At 53.9% G+C, this 22,012-nt stretch overlaps 2 protein-coding genes across 15 annotated transcripts in view, besides 5 other annotated features; one reads left to right on the top strand and one right to left on the bottom strand.

The window, feature by feature from the left end:
* RTN3 (reticulon 3) overlaps positions 1-2,305 on the top strand; it is a 78,442-nt gene extending 76,137 nt beyond the window's left edge. For 8 of the 11 annotated variants that reach the window (NR_049750.2, NR_049751.2, NM_001265589.2 and 5 more), the window contains one exon: positions 570-2,296. Coding sequence is in view for 9 of the 11 variants with exons in the window: in NM_001265591.2 (NP_001252520.1) it covers positions 570-805 (236 nt within the window). In the remaining 2 variants the exon portion in view is untranslated. Of the gene's footprint in view, positions 1-569 lie in introns of all 11 variants that reach the window. The other 3 variants (XM_011544730.3, NM_201429.2, XM_011544731.3) reach the window with 1 other exon arrangement.
* ZFTA (zinc finger translocation associated) lies at positions 2,306-11,189 on the bottom strand. 4 transcript variants are annotated; one of them, NM_001144936.2, is made up of 5 exons: positions 10,898-11,189; positions 8,221-8,718; positions 7,282-7,668; positions 6,452-7,012; positions 2,306-6,283 (listed from the first exon to the last, which is right to left on the bottom strand). In NM_001144936.2, the coding sequence occupies exons 1-5, from the start codon at positions 11,034-11,036 to the stop codon at positions 5,832-5,834; spliced, it is 2,037 nt and encodes a 678-aa protein (NP_001138408.1). In that variant the 5' UTR covers positions 11,037-11,189; the 3' UTR covers positions 2,306-5,831. The 4 variants fall into 4 exon arrangements, with proteins under 4 accessions (NP_001138408.1, XP_047283433.1, XP_047283434.1 ...); XM_047427477.1 differs by lacking the exon at positions 7,282-7,668; XM_047427478.1 differs by lacking the exon at positions 6,452-7,012.
* Positions 4,029-4,788: an enhancer, noted in NCBI's record as "NANOG-H3K4me1 hESC enhancer chr11:63529087-63529846 (GRCh37/hg19 assembly coordinates)". NCBI's record gives its function as "activates a minimal SCP1, AML or CMV promoter by ChIP-STARR-seq in naive and primed H9 embryonic stem cells {active_cell/tissue: H9 hESC(naive and primed)}" and the evidence as "EXISTENCE:reporter gene assay evidence [ECO:0000049][PMID:30033119]".
* Positions 10,606-10,905: a silencer, noted in NCBI's record as "silent region_3442". NCBI's record gives its function as "represses an Ori minimal core promoter by ATAC-STARR-seq in GM12878 lymphoblastoid cells {active_cell/tissue: GM12878}" and the evidence as "EXISTENCE:reporter gene assay evidence [ECO:0000049][PMID:35858748]".
* Positions 11,126-11,175: a silencer, noted in NCBI's record as "silent region_3443". NCBI's record gives its function as "represses an Ori minimal core promoter by ATAC-STARR-seq in GM12878 lymphoblastoid cells {active_cell/tissue: GM12878}" and the evidence as "EXISTENCE:reporter gene assay evidence [ECO:0000049][PMID:35858748]".
* Positions 11,306-11,515: a silencer, noted in NCBI's record as "silent region_3444". NCBI's record gives its function as "represses an Ori minimal core promoter by ATAC-STARR-seq in GM12878 lymphoblastoid cells {active_cell/tissue: GM12878}" and the evidence as "EXISTENCE:reporter gene assay evidence [ECO:0000049][PMID:35858748]".
* Positions 11,536-12,005: a silencer, noted in NCBI's record as "silent region_3445". NCBI's record gives its function as "represses an Ori minimal core promoter by ATAC-STARR-seq in GM12878 lymphoblastoid cells {active_cell/tissue: GM12878}" and the evidence as "EXISTENCE:reporter gene assay evidence [ECO:0000049][PMID:35858748]".

Genomic DNA, 22,012 nt, shown 5'->3' on the forward strand with positions numbered 1-22,012 from the left:
GGCTTCAAGTGATCCTCCCACCTTGGCCTCACAAAGTGCTGAGATTACAGGCATGAGCCCTGCTTTTATTTTGAATTATTCATAGCAAATACTGTGAACCTAACGCTTTGAATTTGTTAACATTTTTCTTTTTTTCTTTTTTTTTTTTTTTTTGAGATGGAGTCTCGCTGTCACCCAGGCTGGAGTGCAGTGGTGCGATGTCTGCTCACTGCAGCCTCCACCTCCCGGGTTCAAGCGATTATCCTTCATTCACCTGCCTCAGCCTCCTGAGTAGCTGGGATTACAGGTGCACACCAACACGCCTGGCTAATTTTTGCATTTTTTAGTAGAGACAGGGTTTCACCACATTGGCCAGGCTGGTCTTCAACTCCTGACCTCATGATCTGCCTGCCTCGGACTCCCAAAGTGCTGGGATTACACGCGTGAGCCACCATACCCAGCCGGGAGAATGCATTTCACATTGCTTATGCAAGTCCAGGACTGTCCTCTAGCATCACAGTTAAAATAAAAACCTAGAGCAAATGCTAATGTTTTCACTTTCTTTCTTTTTCCCCTCCTTTTCTCAATAGGATCCAAGCAAAACTCCCTGGAATCGCCAAAAAAAAGGCAGAATAAGTACATGGAAACCAGAAATGCAACAGTTACTAAAACACCATTTAATAGTTATAACGTCGTTACTTGTACTATGAAGGAAAATACTCAGTGTCAGCTTGAGCCTGCATTCCAAGCTTTTTTTTTAATTTGGTGTTTTCTCCCATCCTTTCCCTTTAACCCTCAGTATCAAGCACAAAAATTGATGGACTGATAAAAGAACTATCTTAGAACTCAGAAGAAGAAAGAATCAAATTCATAGGATAAGTCAATACCTTAATGGTGGTAGAGCCTTTACCTGTAGCTTGAAAGGGGAAAGATTGGAGGTAAGAGAGAAAATGAAAGAACACCTCTGGGTCCTTCTGTCCAGTTTTCAGCACTAGTCTTACTCAGCTATCCATTATAGTTTTGCCCTTAAGAAGTCATGATTAACTTATGAAAAAATTATTTGGGGACAGGAGTGTGATACCTTCCTTGGTTTTTTTTTGCAGCCCTCAAATCCTATCTTCCTGCCCCACAATGTGAGCAGCTACCCCTGATACTCCTTTTCTTTAATGATTTAACTATCAACTTGATAAATAACTTATAGGTGATAGTGATAATTCCTGATTCCAAGAATGCCATCTGATAAAAAAGAATAGAAATGGAAAGTGGGACTGAGAGGGAGTCAGCAGGCATGCTGCGGTGGCGGTCACTCCCTCTGCCACTATCCCCAGGGAAGGAAAGGCTCCGCCATTTGGGAAAGTGGTTTCTACGTCACTGGACACCGGTTCTGAGCATTAGTTTGAGAACTCGTTCCCGAATGTGCTTTCCTCCCTCTCCCCTGCCCACCTCAAGTTTAATAAATAAGGTTGTACTTTTCTTACTATAAAATAAATGTCTGTAACTGCTGTGCACTGCTGTAAACTTGTTAGAGAAAAAAATAACCTGCATGTGGGCTCCTCAGTTATTGAGTTTTTGTGATCCTATCTCAGTCTGGGGGGGAACATTCTCAAGAGGTGAAATACAGAAAGCCTTTTTTTCTTGATCTTTTCCCGAGATTCAAATCTCCGATTCCCATTTGGGGGCAAGTTTTTTTCTTCACCTTCAATATGAGAATTCAGCGAACTTGAAAGAAAAATCATCTGTGAGTTCCTTCAGGTTCTCACTCATAGTCATGATCCTTCAGAGGGAATATGCACTGGCGAGTTTAAAGTAAGGGCTATGATATTTGATGGTCCCAAAGTACGGCAGCTGCAAAAAGTAGTGGAAGGAAATTGTCTACGTGTCTTGGAAAAATTAGTTAGGAATTTGGATGGGTAAAAGGTACCCTTGCCTTACTCCATCTTATTTTCTTAGCCCCCTTTGAGTGTTTTAACTGGTTTCATGTCCTAGTAGGAAGTGCATTCTCCATCCTCATCCTCTGCCCTCCCAGGAAGTCAGTGATTGTCTTTTTGGGCTTCCCCTCCAAAGGACCTTCTGCAGTGGAAGTGCCACATCCAGTTCTTTTCTTTTGTTGCTGCTGTGTTTAGATAATTGAAGAGATCTTTGTGCCACACAGGATTTTTTTTTTTTTTTAAGAAAAACCTATAGATGAAAAATTACTAATGAAACTGTGTGTACGTGTCTGTGCGTGCAACATAAAAATACAGTAGCACCTAAGGAGCTTGAATCTTGGTTCCTGTAAAATTTCAAATTGATGTGGTATTAATAAAAAAAAAAAAAACACAAACAATGACTGTGGCATCATTCTGCTAACTTTATTCTTTATACACAGTTTGGGTAAAGTAAGAACCAAACACTGCTTCCACTCCCCCTATCCTCACTCCACTTTGGGGACTTTAAAAAGTGACTAATAGTTGGTACTCGTAAGGATTCCCAAGACTGCAGAATTTAGTTGTACAGCATAACTGTGCATTTGATCTCTGAAAGAAAATAAGAGACCCTCTAAGAGGTGGTGACCTTAGAAGAATGAGGAGGGGTCAGGGGGTCTTTTACCCCAGTTCAGCCTCACACCAGCCTGGGAGATTTTCCCACCTGCAACGCAAAGCAGCCTGTAAATTACATATAGCCACAATACACTTAAATTGAGTCAATCACCGTGGAAAATGGGAACTAAATACATCATCAGGTCTTCATTGAAAGAACTTGAGTGGTCACCTGTGATTAGCTCTTCTCCTAAACTAAGGCTGCTGTGACCCTTAAGCTGGCTTTTAAAAATGTATTCAACATACCTCTTAGAAAACTTAGGCTGAAATATTTTTTAAATGACTGATGCAAACAATTTCACAAATACGCATACAAATGTTTGAATAATGTCACTAAGTAACATGGTATATAAATATGTATTCAGAGTAACATTTACATATTGGCCATAATAGCAAGCATACCATTAACAACAACAACAAAAAAAATCATGAAGAGACTTCACCTGTTCATGTCAGAATCCCAAGGCAAGGAGGCACACCTAGGCAAGAGGGCCAACTCAACTTGCAACGTCTAACCTGTGAGGCCATAACTTCCATCAAAGCAGGAATCAATGGAATCACTACCGCAGCCCTTCCCTTTCACTGGTGCCCGGCACTTCAGCTGCATCAAGATCAATGGAGGGCTCATGAAAACACTGCTAGGCCCCAACCAAGTTTCTGATTCAGTAACCCTGGGGTATGGCCCAAGAATTTTTATTTCTAGCAGATTCCTAAGGTGATGCTGCTGGTCTCAGGGACACACTTTGAGAGCCACTGGTGTGTTTGGGGCTGTCTCAGTAAAGATGTCCACTCTCCTGAGGCCTCTCTCTGCCTACGGAGGGGGGGGAATCTAACCCCTCTGCCCTGGCTTATCCGAACTTTGGCAGTGGGCTTGAGTGATTATAAATTGGTTCCCCCAATTTGCCTACTGTTTTTGAATGGGCAGAGTAAAAAAAGTGGTGTTAATACTCTGGATCCGAAAAAATGCATGAAGGAAAGTAAAAGAATGGCAGTGCCCAGCCTGGTGCCATCCATAATCTCCGTTCTCAAGCTTTTAATACTGTCTCAAAAACCGTGGAGGTTCAAACTCACTGGGAATTTACTTTTCAGTCAATTGACAACCCATTCAGGATCTTCCTGAATCCCTGGTGGCCTCCACAACAAAAAGCACAAAGCCCCCTGCCGAGGCAGCCTTGGGCCCTGCGGCAGCCGCCCCACCTCTGGAGTTCTGCTGGGGAGGGGAAGGACGATTGGATGGCGCCTTCCAGCTGAGGCCCTGCAGAGCTCAGTGTGCTCATCCCAAGGCAGTGTGCAGGGCTTTGCCACCTTCAGGAGTCACAGATCCACCGTGGTGGCCTGCATTGCCCAGCATGTCAATCCTTCGGCAGGCCTGACAAATTTTAATAACTGACCAGCGAATTGGGAAGCAGTGTGGCATCGTGCAAAGAACACTGAGTCAGGAGCTAGGATTTTCATTCTAGTTCTTGTACTGTCCCTACCTGGCTGTGTGATCATCTCGGTTCCTGGGCTCCAATTTACCTATCTGTGAAGGTGAGGAGGGTAGTACTAGTGATCTCCAGGGCCCTTTCCAATTCTGACAATCCTCAATTATATAAAAATGCTATAAAATCCGTGGTATAAAATCCAACTCCCAAACAGGAAGCGTCAAGGGGACTGGGCCTGAGGCACTTGAACCTTAGGCTCTGGCCTGGGGGTCAGGGATGAGAGGAGGGGCCTCCTCTTTGCCCTCTGCTTTCCCACTCCTGGGCTCTGGCCTGGGGGTCCGGAATAAGAGGGGCCTCCTCTTTGCTCTCTGCCTTTCCACCCCGAGGCAGGGGCTGGACCACGCTGCCCAGGCATCTCTTCCTCCAGACCCAACCCTCAAGTTCCACCCACTAGCCTCCCCGCCCCGGCTTTAGGACCGCGGGAACTGTTCCTGCAGCAGCCTGGCTTTGTGAAGAGCAGACAGTAGGGCCCGGAGTCTCCCAGCGGGATTAACATCAGCACAGCTAGTTGGGGTCCTCCCGTCCCCGCCTCTGCCCTCGCTCCTCCTTCCTTCAGGTCCTCCCTCCACCACCTCACAGCTTATCTCTGATACACGCATAATAAATAAGACATTTGCACATAAGGGTGACTGGGTCAGCTCTGTCCCCGCCCCTCCCCCTTTCATATAAAAGCATTAAATACAGTTTCAAAATAAAATACAAAGAGCAAAAAAGGGCCTGATCTCGGGGCCACCTGTTCTCCACAGGAGAATGAATCTACACATCCCTCTCGGACCTGCCTGGGAGATCGCGGGGCCCCATCCCTGCCACACAGGGCCTGCGGCTGCCACGGGGAAAAGAGGCCGAGGCCCGGCCCCAGGCCCTGCGGGTTGAGAACGGACGCCGCATCCACCGCGGACAAAGGGGGATGGGGATGGGGCGGGAATCGAAGGCTGACTGCCGGGACCGCCTGTGCCCCGGGCTCCCACGGACTTGGTTTAGGGGTAAGCAGAGACCCTCGGGGCAAGAGGAGCAAAGGAAAAAAGTGCTAATCCCTTTACAAGAGCTTTCCTGGAGGGCGTGGCAGCGGCCTGGGAGGAGAGTGGGGCCGCCGGGCGCACGGTTCTCACTGAGCCTGCCGGGGAGGTAAGCGCAGCTGGTCCAGCCCGGGCCCCGGGCGCGTAGCCCCGCCCTCGGTCCAACGCGCCTTCCCACCCCGGGAAGGCTCCCGAGCCCTGCGGCCCAGCCTCCCGCTGGAAGCCCCAGTCCGCAGCCGGGGCCTCCGAGAGGCCGAGAATCCCAATTAGGGAAGGGCAGCCAGCAGCCCCCAAGCCGGGAGCCGTGCCTGCCAGCGTGCAAGGCTGCAGGGAACTGGGCCCCCAGCCAGGGCCAGAGCCAGAGCCCGCACGGCCCCCCTTCGGCCCTAATACTGACTGACGGCGCCCCCAGTCCCGGCCTGCGGAGAACCCCCTCGCGGGGTGCGGCCGGGAGCGCTCGGCGCTAACACGTGGAGGCCACTGAGGATTCTCGGAAAACGTGGGCCCTGCGCGGGGAGGGCAGGGCTCCGGGCCGATGGGAGAGTGCGCTTCCCGCAGCGCACCGACTGGCTCAGGGACCCAAGTGGCACCGCGCAGACGCCGGTGGCCCCACCCGATCCCCCGTCTCCGCCCGGCCCGGCCAGCGGGGGGCGCGGCCGCGGGAAGCGCTAACACCGGACGCGAGGGTCTCCCAGCCGAAGGGCCGGGCGAGCACAGGGCGGGGCGGGGCCGATCCGACCCGACCCGACCTGACCCGGGGGCCCGCTAGGCCGCTACGCCCGACACACAGCGCCAGACTTGAGGTCCGCGCCGCCGTCACGCGGCGCCGGGGCGGGCGGCCCGAAGCCCTCGTGGCCGTAGCAGCGCAGCGCCGCCTCCTCGTAGGCCTCCAGGATAGTCTGGCGCTCCTCAGGCGTGAAGTCCATGGAGAAGGGGTGCACCTGCAGGATGTGGCGCTTGATGGTGCTCACCTTGAGCGTGGCCAGCGCGCCCCCGCACACCATACACACCAGGCCGCGCCGGCTGCCGTCGTAGTCCATCAGGTACTCGCCCCGCCACCGCGGCTGGTAGTTCCGCCGCTGCTCCCGGCTGCGGGGCGGGGGCGGAGGCGGGGGAGGAGGCGGCGGCGGCAAGGCGAGTCCCCCAGGCTCCTGGCCGTCCTCTTCGTCCTCCTCTTCTTCGGCGGGCCGCTCCAAGGGAGCTCCAGGGGACAGCGGAACGTCGCCTAAGGAGGGACAAAGGACCGCATTGGCGACGGCGGGGGGCAGCGGGCTGGGCCCCGCGTCTCATCTCCAGTCACCCCATCTTTGCCCTTCTATCCCATCCTCCAGTCCCTTCTGCCCCAGCAACTGCCCGGCTCTCCCTCTCCGCCTGCTCTGGCCCCACCGCTCACCCCACTCCTCCTCCTCCTCCTCTGGCTCCTCCTCCTCGTCCCCTCCCCCCTCGTCGGAGGCTGCGGCAGTGCCGGGGGGGATGGGGCCCTGGGGGGACTCGGGGCGGGGCGGCCCCAGGGCCAGCAGGTGGGCGGCCTTCTCGCTCCACTCCCGGGCGATGAGGGCCTGGACAGGCCCGCCGAGGCGCGTGGAGCCCGGGTGGCGCCGGCGGATGTGGCGCTCGATGGTGCTCATCTTGAGCGAGGCCAGCGCGCCCCCGCACACCCCGCACACCAGGCCGCGCCGGCCGCCGTCCAACTCCATGAGGTACTCCAGCCGCCAGCGCTCCTGGGGGTGGCGGCGGTGGGCGCGGCCCCGCGGCGACCGGCCCGGGACCCCCGCCCTCTCGCCCTCGCCCTCCTCCAGCTCCTCCTCCTCCTCTGCGGGCCCGGGCCTCTCAGGGACCCAGCCAGCCTCTTCCTTTACGTCTGGGGGGCTGAGATCCTGAGAGGAGGGGGCTCCAGCAGCGGAGGCCGAGTCCCGGCTCTTTCCGGTCAGGTCCTGGGGGGCGAGGTCATCGCCTGTTGGGGAAGGGGTGAGGGAGAGGGGCTCAGCCTGCTGGCTGGGTTGCCCTTGCCCACTCAGAGGGGTCCATCCTGGCTCCTCACCCCAGCCCCAAGCTAGAGGCCCCAGTCTGTCTCTGTCTGGGGGCAGGGGGAAAGTATGTGTGTGGAGCACCAGCTCCTGGCCTTCAGCCCTCAGCCCTAAGTCCCTGCCTCCCAGTTTTGGCCACAGACCCCACTTCAGAGCCCCAGTATGAGGGGGTCTCAGCCTGGGATGGGCCTCGCACCTGGTGGGGACTGGGTGAGCTCAGACAGCGCCTCGGGCTGGCCCCCCCAGGCCTGCAGCAGGGCACTGCGCTGGGGGCCGCTGAGCCCCAGGGAGCCAGGGTGCACCTCCAGCACGTGGGCACGGATGTCGTCCAGGTGCAGGCTGGGCAGTGCCCGGCCACAGGCCATGCACACCAGCCGGTTCCCCCGCGGGTCATAGTCCATGAGACACTCGGCCCGGAACCAGTTCTGCAGGGACTCCTTCAGCCTCCTCTCCAGGCGCCGGGCCCCCAGCCCCCTGCTGCCCCCGGCCCTCCGGGAGGCTGAGAGGCGCAGACGCCGAGCCCGGGGTGCCACTGGGCCCCCTCGCCGCTGGCGCCGGCAGCCCCCACCAGCTGGGGCTTTGCCTGAAAGGGTTGGAGGGAAGGAACTGAGACGCTGGCCCCACGGGAGCATACCCACTACAGCCAGGTCTCCCACAAGCCTCTCACTCACTTGGGCCCCAGGCCTAACCTTTGCCCTTCTCTTCCTCTCTCCTGAAATCCTAACTCCCTAAACCCTCCTCTGCTAGCATTTCAAGCACCACCCACACCTCCCCCAGACTGGAATCTAGCCCTGTCCCTGGCCTTCACCGTCAGCCACACCTCTCCAGCACCCTCCCCTTCCCTCACCCACCCCAGCCAGGCCTCCCTGCTCCAAGCCTTTCCACTGCCTGTCACCCAACTTCTCTCCTTGATACTTCAAAAACCACAGAATGTACAAGCTGTCATGGACATCGGAGACCCTCTCACCCCACTGTCCTTCCCCCACCTTTGTATAATAAGGGCAATAAACAGACCCCACCCAGAGGAGGAGCAGTGCCTTGCTCAAGAACACCAGCTCCTTGGCAGAGCAGCTGGCCCACTGTGCCCCACTGGCCACCCAGGCCCCTGCCTGTACAGAATCTGCATTTGCATTACCTGGGCCCTTGGGCGGGCAAGCTGGGACACCGGCCCCCTCCTCCTCCTCCTCTTCTTCCTCCTCCTCCTCCTCCTCAGCCCCCTGGACCCCCAGGCCCTCGGCCTCTCCGCAGGCCCCCAGCCCCAGGTGTGCATCCCAGCTGTTGCTGATGACTTCCTTCTCCCGGGGACTCCAATGCAAGGAGTAGGGGTGCTTTTGGCGGATGTGGCGCTTGATGGTGCTGAGCTTGAGGGTGGCCAGGGAGCTGCCGCACACCATGCACACCATGCCGTGCCGGGCAGGGTTGAAGTCCATCAGGTACTCCAGCCGCCAGTGGTCGTGGTAGTAGCGCCGGTGGTCACGGCCAGGGATGCGGCTCTTTCCAGGCCTCGAGGCCCGGGCCTCACAGTGGTCTGAATATTTCCTGCCTGAAGATGCTGGTCCCCTGGCCCTGGAGGAGGGCAGGGGGGCACTCCCCCAGGACCCCAAGGCACCCCCTTCCAGCTGAAGATCTTGCCCTGAAGAAGGGGAAAGGGAGACAGTTTTTCAATCTCTGATTTCCAGGGAAAGAGGCGAGGGCTTTGATGGTGAGCCCTGAGAAAGGGAGCTGGGGGAGGGGGTGTTCCGGGGCAGGAAAGGGACGGCAACAGCAATAAAAGGGATGGTAGAAGTGGGAGCCAAAACATTAGCCCTTTACAAAGGGCAAGGACCCTTTAAGAGGAGATCAAGAACAAAAGGACGCAGGGCACTGTGGAAATAGCTCTGACTTTTTAAAAAATAAGGTGAGGGCCAAGGAGCCAACCAGCTCTGTAAGGTGCCCTTTCTGGACAAGAGCCGTAGGGAGAAAGCCAGGAGAGCAGCAGGCCAGGGCGGTTCCAGCTGGAGCAGAGCAGGCAGTGGGGCCAGACAAACAAAGGGGGCATCTGTCTACAGCCAGGGCTGCACACGGGACCCACCCACCTGGGGCCCCCGCCAGGAGGGCCCCACCCACAGGTCTTCTCCCTTTTTCCAGTAATGCTTCAAATATAGCTTCCTGAGACTCCCATTTTGGGGATGGGCTAGGCATTGTCAGTTCCCCAAATCTAGGCCCCCACATGGGAGGGATCCCCAAGACAAAGCTGCCAACATCTCCAGGGAAAGGAGTTTCTGAGACTGAAACTTCTCCAGATTCTGGAGGAGCCAATGACCCTGTAAAGGGATGGCAGGAGGGCCACCAGAGTGACAACTAATGACACTGCGGCAGGGAGTGGCCACCATCCACTGAAGCCCATTAAGTCTTTCTGGGGCTTTATTTGCTGCTCTGGCAGGGAGCCGGCCACTGCCCAGCAGTCAGAAGGGCGGGCACTGGAGAGGCCCCACTAACCCAATGGTGTTCCCTGTGCCAGACACCCACCCAGAGCAGTCCCCTACCCTCCCTACAGTTCCCACCCCTCTTGATTTAGAAAAATGGTCTCCTGGGCACACAGGCAGGTTCTGGTCATTCTCCCAGTGGAGAATCACAGGGTTGGGAAAACAAAAGACAGGATCAGAAAGGGCTCCTGTCACCCTTGTGGAAGTTTTTTTGTTTTAGTTTTTATTTAAGTAGATCCATAGAATCCACTGGCTTCGGAGTCATAGGCCTGGGTTCAAGTCCTGGCTTCACTGGTAACTTGCTCTGTGACCTTTGATAGGTCATGTCCGCACTCTGGGCCTGAGCTTCTTTGTCTGCAACGACACTGGCTAGCTGGCTGGTCTCTAAGCATCCTTCCAGCGCTGGATCCAGGCTAGTCTAAGGTGGATTGGCCCTTTAAGAGCCGAAAAAGGGGGAGGAGCCGAGGTTCTTTAAAAACAAAAGGGGATGGGGCGTTTCTGGGAGGGGAGAGACCGGGAGGGGAGCCTGGAGATTCGGGCAGAGTCTCCCTGGCCTGGAGGAAACCCTCAAGGGTCTTAAGGCGTGACCCTGCAGCCGGGAAATGAGTCAACAGTCTCCTTTGAGAGCGAACGAGGAGGACTGGTTGGTTCCGCTAGAGCTGACAAATTAGGGCAAAAAAAAATTCTGAAAAGAAGGGAAGGGAGAATGCACCGGCCGGAGGGGTGCCTGCCTTTGTGGGCGAACCCATCGCTTTAAAAACTGCCCGCGGTGGGAAAAGATGGTGTGGGCCCCCGGGGCGCAAGCGATGCACTTTCCTAGGGAGAATGTGGGAGAAAAGAAAAAGGGTGCATGTCTCTCACAAGGCCACGAGACGAGAGGAGCAGCCCGATTTAAAACAGCAGAGTTCGGAGCTGAGCTCAGCTCCGCTGGGGAAAAGCCCCCGAAGGGGACCCAGGGTCTGGGCGGACTTTTGAGAGAAAGCCCGATTAGGGAGACCACCTGGGAGTCTGAAAGAGAAAGGGGCGGGGGCCAAAGTCCAGCCTCGCTCCGTGGCGCCCTGCCCCGTGGGGCCCCTCGGGCCTGGCCCCCAAGGCGGGGCGCTGCGGGCGGCAGCGGGGCCCTTTAAGGGGGAGGCGAGCCGCCCGAGCCCCGCGAGCCGACCCCGGGAGCTGGGCGGGGGGCTCCCCCGCCAGCCCTGCAGCCGCGCTCCGCGCCCACCAGGTGGCGCCCCCGGCCGCCCTGCCCGCGTCCCCCGCTTTGTTCGGCGGCGGAGAGGGGCCCCGAGCCGCAGCCCTCCCTTCCCCCACGCCGGGGCCCCCGCCCGGGCCGCCGGCCCCAGCTCTTACCGCCTTCGTCTTCCTCTGGCTCCGCGCTGCCGCTCGATCCGGCGGGCGGCAGCCGTCGGCCCCGTGCCGAGGCCACTGCTGGCCCGGGGCCGCCCCTGCCGCCGCTGCTCCGGCTCCGGTGGTCCCCGCCGGGCTCCATGCGCTGCGCTGCGGAGCGGGGCCCCGGGGCGGCGGGGCGCGGGGCCGCGGGGCCGGCGGCAGCCCGCGCGGAGCGCTCGCTGCGCGGGGCCCCGGGGCGCGGGGCGCATGCACGGGGCGGCCGGCCGCACGGACGGCAGGCTGCTCGCTCGGCGGCGCGGGCTGGACCGGGGTGGGGATTCCTGTCTGGGGCCCCTGGGGCTCCTTTAAGGGCTCCTGGGTAAATTTAAAGGGGCCGCGCGCTATTTCCTCCTGCCAGCTCGCGGGGGGCTGGGGGGAAAGGCGGGAGGCAACGAGCCCAGCCGAGGCTCAGCAGCCTGCGCCCGCTCCGGACGCTAGGGGCACGGACCTCGCCGCCCCCGCGGGCCCGCACCGCCGCCTGCGGGGCTCCGGTCCCGGCTCCCAAAGGGTCACTGAGGTGGCGAGGGGCGCCCGCGTCCGCTGCGACGCGCTTCCACCCGGGCTCGGCTCGCGGCCACCGCCCCCTCGGGGCATCTCAGCGCCGGGAGCGCCCGCTGAGGAGGCCGGGGTCCCTGCCCGGGGCTGCCTCCCGCCGCGCAAGCGGGTCGCGAGCTCCGTGCGGGCCCCGGAGCGGCCGCTACTGGCAGGGGCCCCAGATGGCTGCGGCCCCGCCGAGAGGGTGGAGCCGTGGGGGCGGCCGCGCCCCCTCCCGCGGGAGCCGCCCGGGAGCGCTGAGAGCTCGGGCTTCTCATGGGAGGGGCGGACAAGCGAGGCTCCCCCGAGCCAGCCAGGGGTGGGGGCGGCGGCCGCAGTGACTCGGGCTGGGGAGAGGGGCGCACAGCAGACCCGCAGAGAGCCGGCTGCGCCGGGGCCCGACCCTGCGGGCTGGAGGTGGCCCCAGGATGGAAGCCGGGAGGAGAGGGCGTGCGCGGCGGTGACTCAGGATCCTGCCCCCGCAGGCCTGGGGGTGCCTGACGAGGCCCTTGACGCAGCCCCAGACCCCCGGCCCGGCCCTAGGAAGCGAAAAATGCTGGCCCCGGGCGGGGTGTCGGGCACCTGGGGAGGCGCGTTACCACGGCTCGGAAGCGCTGGGCGGACCCTGGCTGCGGGTCCCGGGGCGCCCCCGGTCCCCCAGCTCCGGAGAAGCGGAGCGCAGGGACCCGGAGAGGCAGCCGGGGCGCAGCAGCCTGGGGTCCTCCTGCGAGGACCGGCGGGAGGAGCAGGTGCTCGCTTTGCCTGAGGTTGGGCGCCCACAACAAAGGCGATTCCTGGAGATCCAAATTACAGGGTGCGGGAGGCCTGCAGGGTCTTCTTATCTGGAGGCGGGTTTTGTTCCCTGCACTGGCGAGTTACCCAGCTGTCGCCGATGGCAGTTCGTCCGCTTGTCACCACCTACTGTGTGCCCGCATGCTTTCAGACGCTGGACACACAGCACTGAAAAACATGGGCAAGACCGATACTGCCTGTGACTTTCCTTCTCAGAGGCACCCACAGCCTCTGAAAAGGAAACCGCTCCAGCCTTTCGGGAGCCATGGGAATTAAATTACTTGGAACACAGGAAACCTGTCCCCGAAGTGCTTATGAGGAGGGGACAAGAACTAAGATTTCTTAAGTGCCTCTGGGCTCTGTCGCCGCGGAGATGTCCCGTCTCTTCCTCAGCCCCCATGTTGACGTGCTTGAGACTCCACCTTGGGTAAACTGAGTCTCCTTTCACAGCTCTGCTCTCTTCGCGGCAGGCCCTGCGCTCAGGGGGGCGGGGGGGGGTTGCACTTCCTCTCACCCACTGGGGTCAGAGGCCCTGATGCTGATGGGTGCCACGCAGGCCCTGAGATGGGAGATTCCTTAATTCATTATGTCCCTCATCTGTGCCAGGCCCGGGAACACAAAGGGAAAGTGAGACAGAGACCTGGGCTTCACGCACTTCTAAGTAGTATGGTTTAAAAAAAAAAAAAAAAGAAAAAGAAAGAAAGAAAAGAAAGGAAAAGAAGCTAAAAGAGCCTAATGTCCTAAAATGAAAGAAGCCTGTTCTTCTGGGGCCAAGGGCCCTTGTGCTTTATTCTAGTTTAGTTGCTCACTCCACAGAGAACCAATGCTGAGGGCCAGCCCCTGTGAGACTCTGGTGTCTGTCCTGCCAGTGCTCTGTGTGTATAAAAAGGGTAATTTTATTACCAGAAGAAAGGTATCAAAGCCACCTGGAGCCACCTTCAACAACCTCTGCCCTCCCCTTCCCACCCACATTCTGCACGACCTCAGGAACGGCTGCACGCTTGACAGTTCTAAAAGTTTCCCACTCACTACTTGATCCCCGCAGCAGCCCCGTGAAGCTGGAACTTTGTTGTCGGGATGAAGAAATGGAGACTCAGAGAGTCAAGAGCCTTGCGCAAGGCCATTCATTTATTTCTGCACTTCTTTTCTTGTTCAGAAAGCAGTCATAAGTGATGAGAACAGGGCTGGGGGTGCAGAGACTTAAGAATAACATAATGCAGTGGGGGGGTACCCCCCAACCCCACTGGGGGAAGGGGAAACCAATGGCAGTGAGTCAGGGCCACATTCTCACTTTCTCAGGCCTTAGGTGCTTTTGTCTTCATGAGGTATCTTCCTCTATTTAAAAAAAAAATAAAAATTTAAATAATTCAGTAGATTTTCATGGGCCCTACGCATTTATTTTTTTGATGTGAGAAAAAAAATTGTCTTTGACCCTTACATTTTTTTCATCTAATTTTAAAATAAAACATTTTCATGAGCCCCTAAAAGTACCTTGCACTCTAGGCACCAGTGCCTCGGTGCCCTGGGTCCCTGGCACTGATTGCAGTAGAGGGTGATAAGCACCAAGGAAAAGGGAAGCCCCAGGAAGGGTCACCCAACTGGGGAAGACTTCCTAAAGAGGGCATTGTTTAAACCAAAACTAGAAAGACCAGGGTATTGCCAGAAGGAGAAAGGGAACAAGGGTTTCCTGGCAGAGGCTGGGAAAATTCTGGATGAAGGAGGGTTTCAGGTGGGAGAGGGAGAAGAGGAAATAGAAATTGGCAGGGACTAGAGCCTTAGGTGCCACATGGAGAGTCTCAGTTTGTCCTGAAGGCACTGGGAATGCTGGGAATTGTGGACAATTATGGAGGCAGCTGGGAGAACGCTGGGGAGAGGGACAGCAACAAAGACCCATGTCAAGGCAGCAGCCCCAGGGCCAATGGAGAGGAGGCAAAAGATTTGAGCAGGGCCACAGCACATCATGGTGTAAACTTCACTGCATTGAGGAGGAAGAGAAGGAAGAGGTGGTGGCAACTGGAGGATGAATACCAGCTGAGTGAGGAGGAGGAGGAGAAGGAGGAGGAGGAGGAGGAGAAGGAGGAGGAGGAGGAGGTGGCAACTGGAGGATGAATACCAGCTGAGTGAGGAGGAGGAGAAGGAGGAGGAGGAGGAGGAGGCAACTGGAGGATGAATACCAGCTGAGTGAAGAGAAGGAGGAGGAGGAGGCAACTGGAGGATGAATACCAGCTGAGTGAAGAGAAGGAGGAGGAGGAGGCAACTGGAGGATGAATACCAGCTGAGTGAAGAGAAGGAGGAGGAGGAGGAGGGGAAGAAGGAGAAGGAGGAGGGCAAGAAGGAGGAGGAGGAAGGGGAGGCGACCGGAGGATGAATACCAGCAAAGCCAGGAAAAAGGATACCTCTTCTCACCAAGGGGCTATTTCTTACCTAAGTGATATACCTAAAAGTTGCTTATGCCTGGGGCAGGGGTCAGGAGTGTTGAGGGCTAGTAGTGGTTCTAGCTTGAGCATATCAAGAAGATAGAATTACAGGACATGGTGTCTGCTTGAATGTGATGATCCGGGAAAGGCCCTGCTAACTCCCAAGTATCTGGATTGAGAGGATGGGGCTATAAAAAGAAAAGTAGATTTGGAAGTAGAAAATGAGGTTACAGGCTGGGCGCAGTGGTTCACACCTATTACAGCACTTTGGGAGGCTGAGGTGGGTGGATCACCTGAGGTTGGGAGTTCGAGACCAGCCTGACCAACATAGTGAAACCCCATCACTACTAAAAATACAAAAATTAGCTGGGCGTGGTGGCGCGGGCCTGTAATCCCAGCTACTCGGGAGGCTGAGGCAGGAGAATCACTCGAACCTGGGAGGTGGAGGTTGCAGTGAGCTGCGATTGTGCCATTAGCCTGGGCAACAAGAGTGAAACTCCGTCTCAAAAAAAAAGAAAAGAAAATGAGGTCACAACCTGAGAACTTTGGAGCCCATTTCAAACCCAGAACTCCTGATTTTTACACCTTACCTCTTCCATTCTCTAACTCAGATTCACTTAGTCCCCTGTGTGGTGTCTCCAGCCAGCCCTAGAACTTCTAAGGTTGTTGGTCCCAGCCTTCAAGGGCCAGCGTCCCCCAGTGGGGCAGCCTTCTCCTAGTGCTTCAGTGGCTCCTTGGGCAGGTCCCGTTAAAAGGAGGGCCACTGACAACAAAAACAGAGGAACTGTGAATTGTGTTCCCAAAGGAAGGTTTTTAAGGAGGTAAAACATTAACCTCCCTAGACCCAACTTTGTGACAAATTCTGGATTCTACTTTTCAGGATATCTCAGAACTAAAAAAAAACAAATCCTGGTTCTAAAAGTAGCCTTCAACATTCTCCAGAGAGCAGACCCAAACTCCTTCAAAAAACTAAGATCGGTCATATAGGCTGTAATGTTAAAGGAACTTTCTATGTAGATTGTAAATTAAATCATCCCTTGTAAAATCCCAAAGGAATTTCAAACTTAAGGATTATATCCAGGTCTAAGCCAAAACCTTGAGCTTTGAATGTGTGTGTTGAGGGGAGAGAGTGTGGAATTTTATTTAATTTAATTAATTTATTTATTTTTTTGAGATGGAGTTTTGGTCTTGTCGCTCAGGCTGGAGTTCAATGGCTCACTGCAACCTCTGCCTCCCGGGTTCAAGCGATTCTCCCGCCTCAGCCTCCCGAGTAGCTGGGATTACAGGCGCCCGCTACCACACCCAGCTAATTTTTGTATTTTTAGTAGAGACGGGGTTTCACCATGTTGGCCAGGCTGGTCTCGAACTCCTGACTTCAGGTGATCTGCCCTCCTTGGCCCCCCAAAGTGCTGGGATTACAGGCGTGAGCAACCGCGCCTGGCCTAATTTTTGTATTTTTAATAGAGACGGGGTTTCACCATCTTGGCCAGGCTGATATTGAATTCCTGACCTCGTGATCCACCTGTCTTGGCCTCCCAAAGTGCTGGAATTACAGGCGTGAGCCACTGCCCCTGACCTAATGTTTGTATTTTTGCAGACATGAGGTGTCACCATGTTGCCCATGCTGGTCTCAAATTCCTGAGCTCAGGCGATCCTCCCACCTCGACCTCCCAAAGTTCTGGGATTACAAGCATGAGCCACTACGCCCGGCTTCTTTCTTTTTAAAATTGTAAGAACACTTAACATGAAATCTATCCTCTAAACAAGCTTTTAAATGTACAGTGCACTATTGTTGACCATAGGCACTAGGTTCTACAGCAGATCTCTACAGCCTATTCATCTTATTTAACTAAAACTTTATGCTCATTGGCCAGGCGCAGTAGATCACGCCCATAATCCCAGCACTTTGGGAGGCTAAAAAGGGCGGATCAACTGAGATCAGGAGTTTGAGACGAGGCTGACCAACATGGTGAAACCCCCATCTCTACTAAAAATACAAAAATTAGCCAGGCATGGTGGCACACGCCTGTAGTCCCAGCTACCCAGGAAGCTGAGGCAGGAGAATTGCTTGAACCCGGGAGGCAGAGGTTACAGTGAGCCAAGATTGTGCCACTGCACTCCAGCCTAGGTAACAGAATGAGACTCCGTCTCAAAAAAAAAAAAAAAACTAGGCCGGGCGCAGTGGCTCACGCCTGTAATCCCAGCATTTTGGGAGGCCGAGGTGGGCGGATCACAAGGTCAGGAGATCGAGACCATCCTGGCTAACATGATGAAACCCCATCTCTACTAAAAATACAAAAAATTAGCTGGGCGTGGTGGCGGGCGCCTGTAGTCCCAGCTACTCGGGAGGCTGAGGCAGGAGAATGGCGTGAACCTGGGAGGCAGAGCTTGCAGTGAGCCGAGATCGTGCCACTGCACTCCAGCCTGGGCGACAGAGCCAGACTCCATCTCAAAAACAAAAAAAACTCTATGCTCATTGATTAGTAACCCCTCTTTCCTCCTTTCCCCAGCTCCTATCAACCACCCTTCCACAGTTTGATTCTATGAATTTGAATTTTTAAAAAAATTTTTTTTTAGATTCAGGATCTTGCTGTGTTATCCAGGCTGGAGTGCCATGGCACAATCATAGCTCTCTGTAACCTCGAATTCCTGGTCTCAAGGGATTCTTCCGCCTCAGCCTCCCAAATAACTAGGACTACAGGCACCCACTACCACACCTGACTAATTTTTTAATTTTTTTGTTGAGATGGGTGTCTCCTCACTATCTTGCCCAGGCTGGTTTCGAACCCCCTGCCTCAAGCAATCCTCCTGCCTCAGCCTCCCAAAGTGTTGGGATTACAGTTGTGAGCCACATGCCCAGTCAAATTTGACTATTTTAGAAACTTCATGTCACTGAAATCATGCAGTGTTTGTCTTTCTGTGACTGGCTTAGTTCACTTAGCATAATTTCCTCAAAGTTCATCCATGTTGTCACATGTTGAAGAATTTCCTTCTATTTTAAGGCTGGATAAGATTCCATTGTATGTATACAAAGCATTTTCTTCATTCATCTGTTGGTGGACATTTAGTCTGTCTCCACATCTTGACTATTATGAATAAACATAGAAGTGCTAATATATCTCTGAGATCTTATTTGAAGTCTTCTGGATAAATGCCCAGAAGTGAGATTTACAGTGGCTATACCATTTCTCATTCCTAACCAACAGTGTGCAAGGGTTCCGATTTCCCCACATCCGTATGAACAGTGATTGCCCTGTACAGCGAAGCACTCTGAATGCCTCAGCTATGCAAACCATTTACTGGGGTGACTTGATCAATGAGAAAATACAGGATAGCCGGCTGGGAGTGGTAGCTCATGCCTGTAATCCCAGCACTTTGGGATGCTGAGGCAGGTGGATCACCTGAGGTCAGGAGTTTGAGACCAGCCTGACCAACATGGTGAAACCCCGTCTCTACTAAAAATTAGCTGGGCATGGTGGCTGGCACCTGTAATCCCAGCTACTCAGGAAGCTGAGGCAGGAGAATGGCTTGAACCTGGGAGGCGGAGGTTGCAATGAACCGAGATCACATCATTGCACTCCAACCTGGGCTACGGAGCGAGACTCCATCTCAAAAAAAACAAACAAACAAACAAAAACACAGGATAGTCTTCTTGGCCCTACCTGTTGGTGCCAATGGAAGGATAATTCTTAGGGCCAGGGCACAAGTGTCCTGAGTTCCCCCTGCCAGTGTGGAAAACCACAGATGCACTGGACGGTGCTCCTCAGAGCCAGCCTTGGATGCTGGCTGCTGCTGGCTCCCCAATTCCTGGTTTTAGGGACCTCTAAGATGGCCCCAATGTCCTAACCCGTCCACCCCACTAAAGAGGGACAGTCCCATAATGGTCCAACTCTTTGACAAGACCATGAGCAAGGATGAAGAACAAGGGGTAGTTGACCAACAAGGCCTTCATTCCTGTCCCTCTTTATTAAAAAAAAAAAAAACATAGACACAGAGTCTCCCTATGTTGTCGAGGCTGGTCTCGAACTCCTGGGCTCAAGTGATTCTCCAGCCTTGGCCTCTGATATGGTTTGGCTGCGTCCCCACCCAAATCTCACCTTGAATTATAATAATTCCCACATGTGGAGGGTGAGGCCAGGTGGAGATAATTGAATCATGGGGGCAGTTTCCCCAGTATTGTTCTCGTGGTAGTGAATAAGTCTCACAAGATCTGATGGTTTTATAAATGGGAGTTACTCTGCACAAGCTCTCTTGTCTGCCACCATGTAAGACATGACTTTGCTCCTTATTCCCCTTCTGCCATGATTTTGAGGCATCCCCAGCCATGTGGAACTGCGAGTCAATTAAACTTCTTTCCTTTATAAATTACCCAGTCTTGGGTATGTCTTTATGAACAGCATGAGAACGGACTAATACAGCCTCCCAAAGTGCTGGGACTACAGGTATGAGCCACCACACCCAGCCTGTCCCTCTTTAAATGTGTCAAAAGTGTAAATTTTGTATTTCTGTCTCCTTTCCATAACCTCAGAGTATTCCAGTGGCTGCTTACTGTTTTATCAATCCCCTCAGACTGAGTCAGCACCTTTTTTTTTTTTTTGGAGACAGGGTCTCACTCTGTCGCCCAGGCTACTAGAGTGCAGTGGCACAATCTCAGCTCACTGCAACCTTTACCTCCTGGGTTCAAGCAATTCTCCTGCCTCAGCTTCCCGAGTAGGTGGGACTACAGGCATGTGCCACCACGCCTGGCTAATTTTTTGAATTTTTAGTAGAGTTGGGGTTTCACCACGTTAGCCAGGCTGGTCTTGAACTCCTGACCTCAAGTGATCCGCCTGCCTCGGCCTCCCAAAGTGCTGGGATTACAGCATGAGCCACTGTACCCAGCCAAATCAGCACACTTTTGATAATAAATGATTAAAAATAAAAATAAAAATAAAACTGGCTTAAAAGTTTAAAGCAGGAGAGGGTGTATTGGTTCATGGGACTGAAAATTAAAAAATGATCTTCAGATGTGGCTCGATGCAAGGTTCAAGCAGTGTCCCGGTGATCTTAATGTCTGTCTGTCTGTCTCTCTCCATCTCTACCCTGCTCCCCTGTTTGTTGGCTGTCCTTTTGGAAAGGTCTTTCTACAGGATGACCCCAGCACCTCCAGACTCACAGCCTGACAACTGGAAGGCTCACAGAAAAGAAAGAGATCTTCTCTCCTCCAACAATGTGAACAAAGTCCCAGGTCTAAATCTCACTGGATCACATTGGATCATGAGCCTGTCCTTCAACGAGTTACTGAAACTAAACTCACGGGATATGCCATTCACTTAAGCCTGGGTCAGAGGCCCGCTCCTGGAGGAGTCAGCACTCCCAACTATGTGGACTAAGGGTGCTCTCTATAAAGAAAAACTGGATGGAGTTAACACAAGAAGTAATGCTGAACAGCAGAAACAACAGAAGTCTAGTCACTCATGTTGAGAACATATTGCCATTCCAATTAATAGCAAGACACAGTAACAGGAGTGAGGCACATCTTAGGGGTTGGCCCTTCCATTCTATCCCTTCACAGCCCTGTAGGAAATGGCTCTCCTCTGCTCTCTGGCCAGCTCTCCAAGGGCTGTCCCCAAGATCAATCCCTTCCGACCCAGAATGGGGCCCACAGCAGTCACCTTTCCTCCAAACTTTCCAGCCCAAAAGCCTATAGTTGCCTACCCAGTAAGAGTGGTCACTCTGACCCATGAAAGACCAGTCAGATCTCTCTCCTGACATTCTTTTTGGGGATTTCATAGACAGCCAAATGATCTCTGAGATTGACTTGAAACTGCACAAATCTATCATGAAGAATAGAAGCAAGAGGCCGGGCGTGGTGTAATCCCAGCACTTTGGGAGGCAGAGGCGGGTGGATTACAAGGTCAGGAGATCAAGACCATCCTGGCTAACACGATGAAACCCCGTCTCTACTAAAAATACAAAAAAATTAGCTGGGTGTGGTGGTGGGCTCCTGTAGTCCCAGCTGCTGGGGAGGCTGAGGCAGGAGAATGGCGTGAACCCGGGAGGCGGAGCTTGCAGTGAGTTGATATTGCGCCACTGCACTCCAGCCTGGGCGACAGAGCGAGACTCTGTCTCAAAAAAAAAAAAAAAAAAAAGGCTTTGGTCTTTATACTAAGAGAAATGGGAGGTAACTGAAGAGTGTGTGTGTGTGTGTGTGTGTGTGTGTGTGTGTGCGCGCGCGCGGGTGCATGTGTGTGTGTATGTAGAGATTACCAGATTTTTATTTTGATAGAATAACTGTGGAAATATATTTCAAGGGGACAAAGAGTAGAGGCAGGAAGACTGATTAGAAGGCTATCGAATTGGACTATCAGAGAAAGAGAGGCTGCCAGGAATAGACAGTGGAGAAGGAAATGCAGAAAGGAGCAGATTTCAGAGTTACGGAGGAAGGAAGTTTAACAGAATAGGGGATGGACTAGGGGAGAAAAGGGGGTTCCAAGGATGAGAATGAAGTTTTGAGTTTGCATGAAAAGAAAGATAGTATTGCTACTCATTGAACTGAAAGACAGTAGAAGAGAAGTGGGCTTGGAGGAAGGGGTGTATCAGCTTGAGTAACAGATAGGGTGTATGTGTTACATTTGGCTGCAAGTAACAGAGGACAGAGGCTAAAATATAAAGCTCTTTGTTGTTTATGTAAGAAGTCCAGGGGTTGGAGGTCCCAGACTTAGTTCAAATTCTTCCCACTCTTCAGCTCCATCATTTTTAGCTGGCTTTTAACTCTTTTGTTTGTTATCTCATGATCAAAAGCTGTATACCACAGCTCCAAATATGTGCTCATACCAGCATTCCAAGGAAGAAGAAAGAGACAAGGGCAAAAGTTCTTTCCTCCAGAGGCTCTGTCTTTTATCTGGGAATCAAACTCTTCCCTAGAAACTCCCCAGGAAATTTTCCCTTACCTCTCATTGGCCAGAACTGGTTGCATAGTTGTCTCTGGCTACAAAGGAAGCTAGGAATATTTGTATTCAGTATTTGGCAACAGGAAAAGCAATTATCATTGGTAGTTTAACCATAATTCATCCCCCGGGGTTGCGGGGAGAGCCTGTATTCCTAAAAATCAAGGGATTTCCACCTACTTCCTGTACCAAGCAGACATATATTGGCAGGATACAGGAGGCTGGGAAGGCTGGTGGGTCACAATGAACTGAGCATACATAGGTACACTATCATTTGTGCATATCATCTCCATTTCTTTCTGGAAACACCAGCTTCATTTTTCCTTCTGGAATGATACCTCTTCTCACACTCAAACTAAGTGGTTTTGGTATAGCTGATTTCATCCCCCACACTGAGTTGACAT

Source organism: Homo sapiens, chromosome 11 (genome assembly GCF_000001405.40).
Source record: "Homo sapiens chromosome 11, GRCh38.p14 Primary Assembly".
NCBI classification, from domain to species: Eukaryota; Metazoa; Chordata; class Mammalia; order Primates; family Hominidae; genus Homo; species Homo sapiens.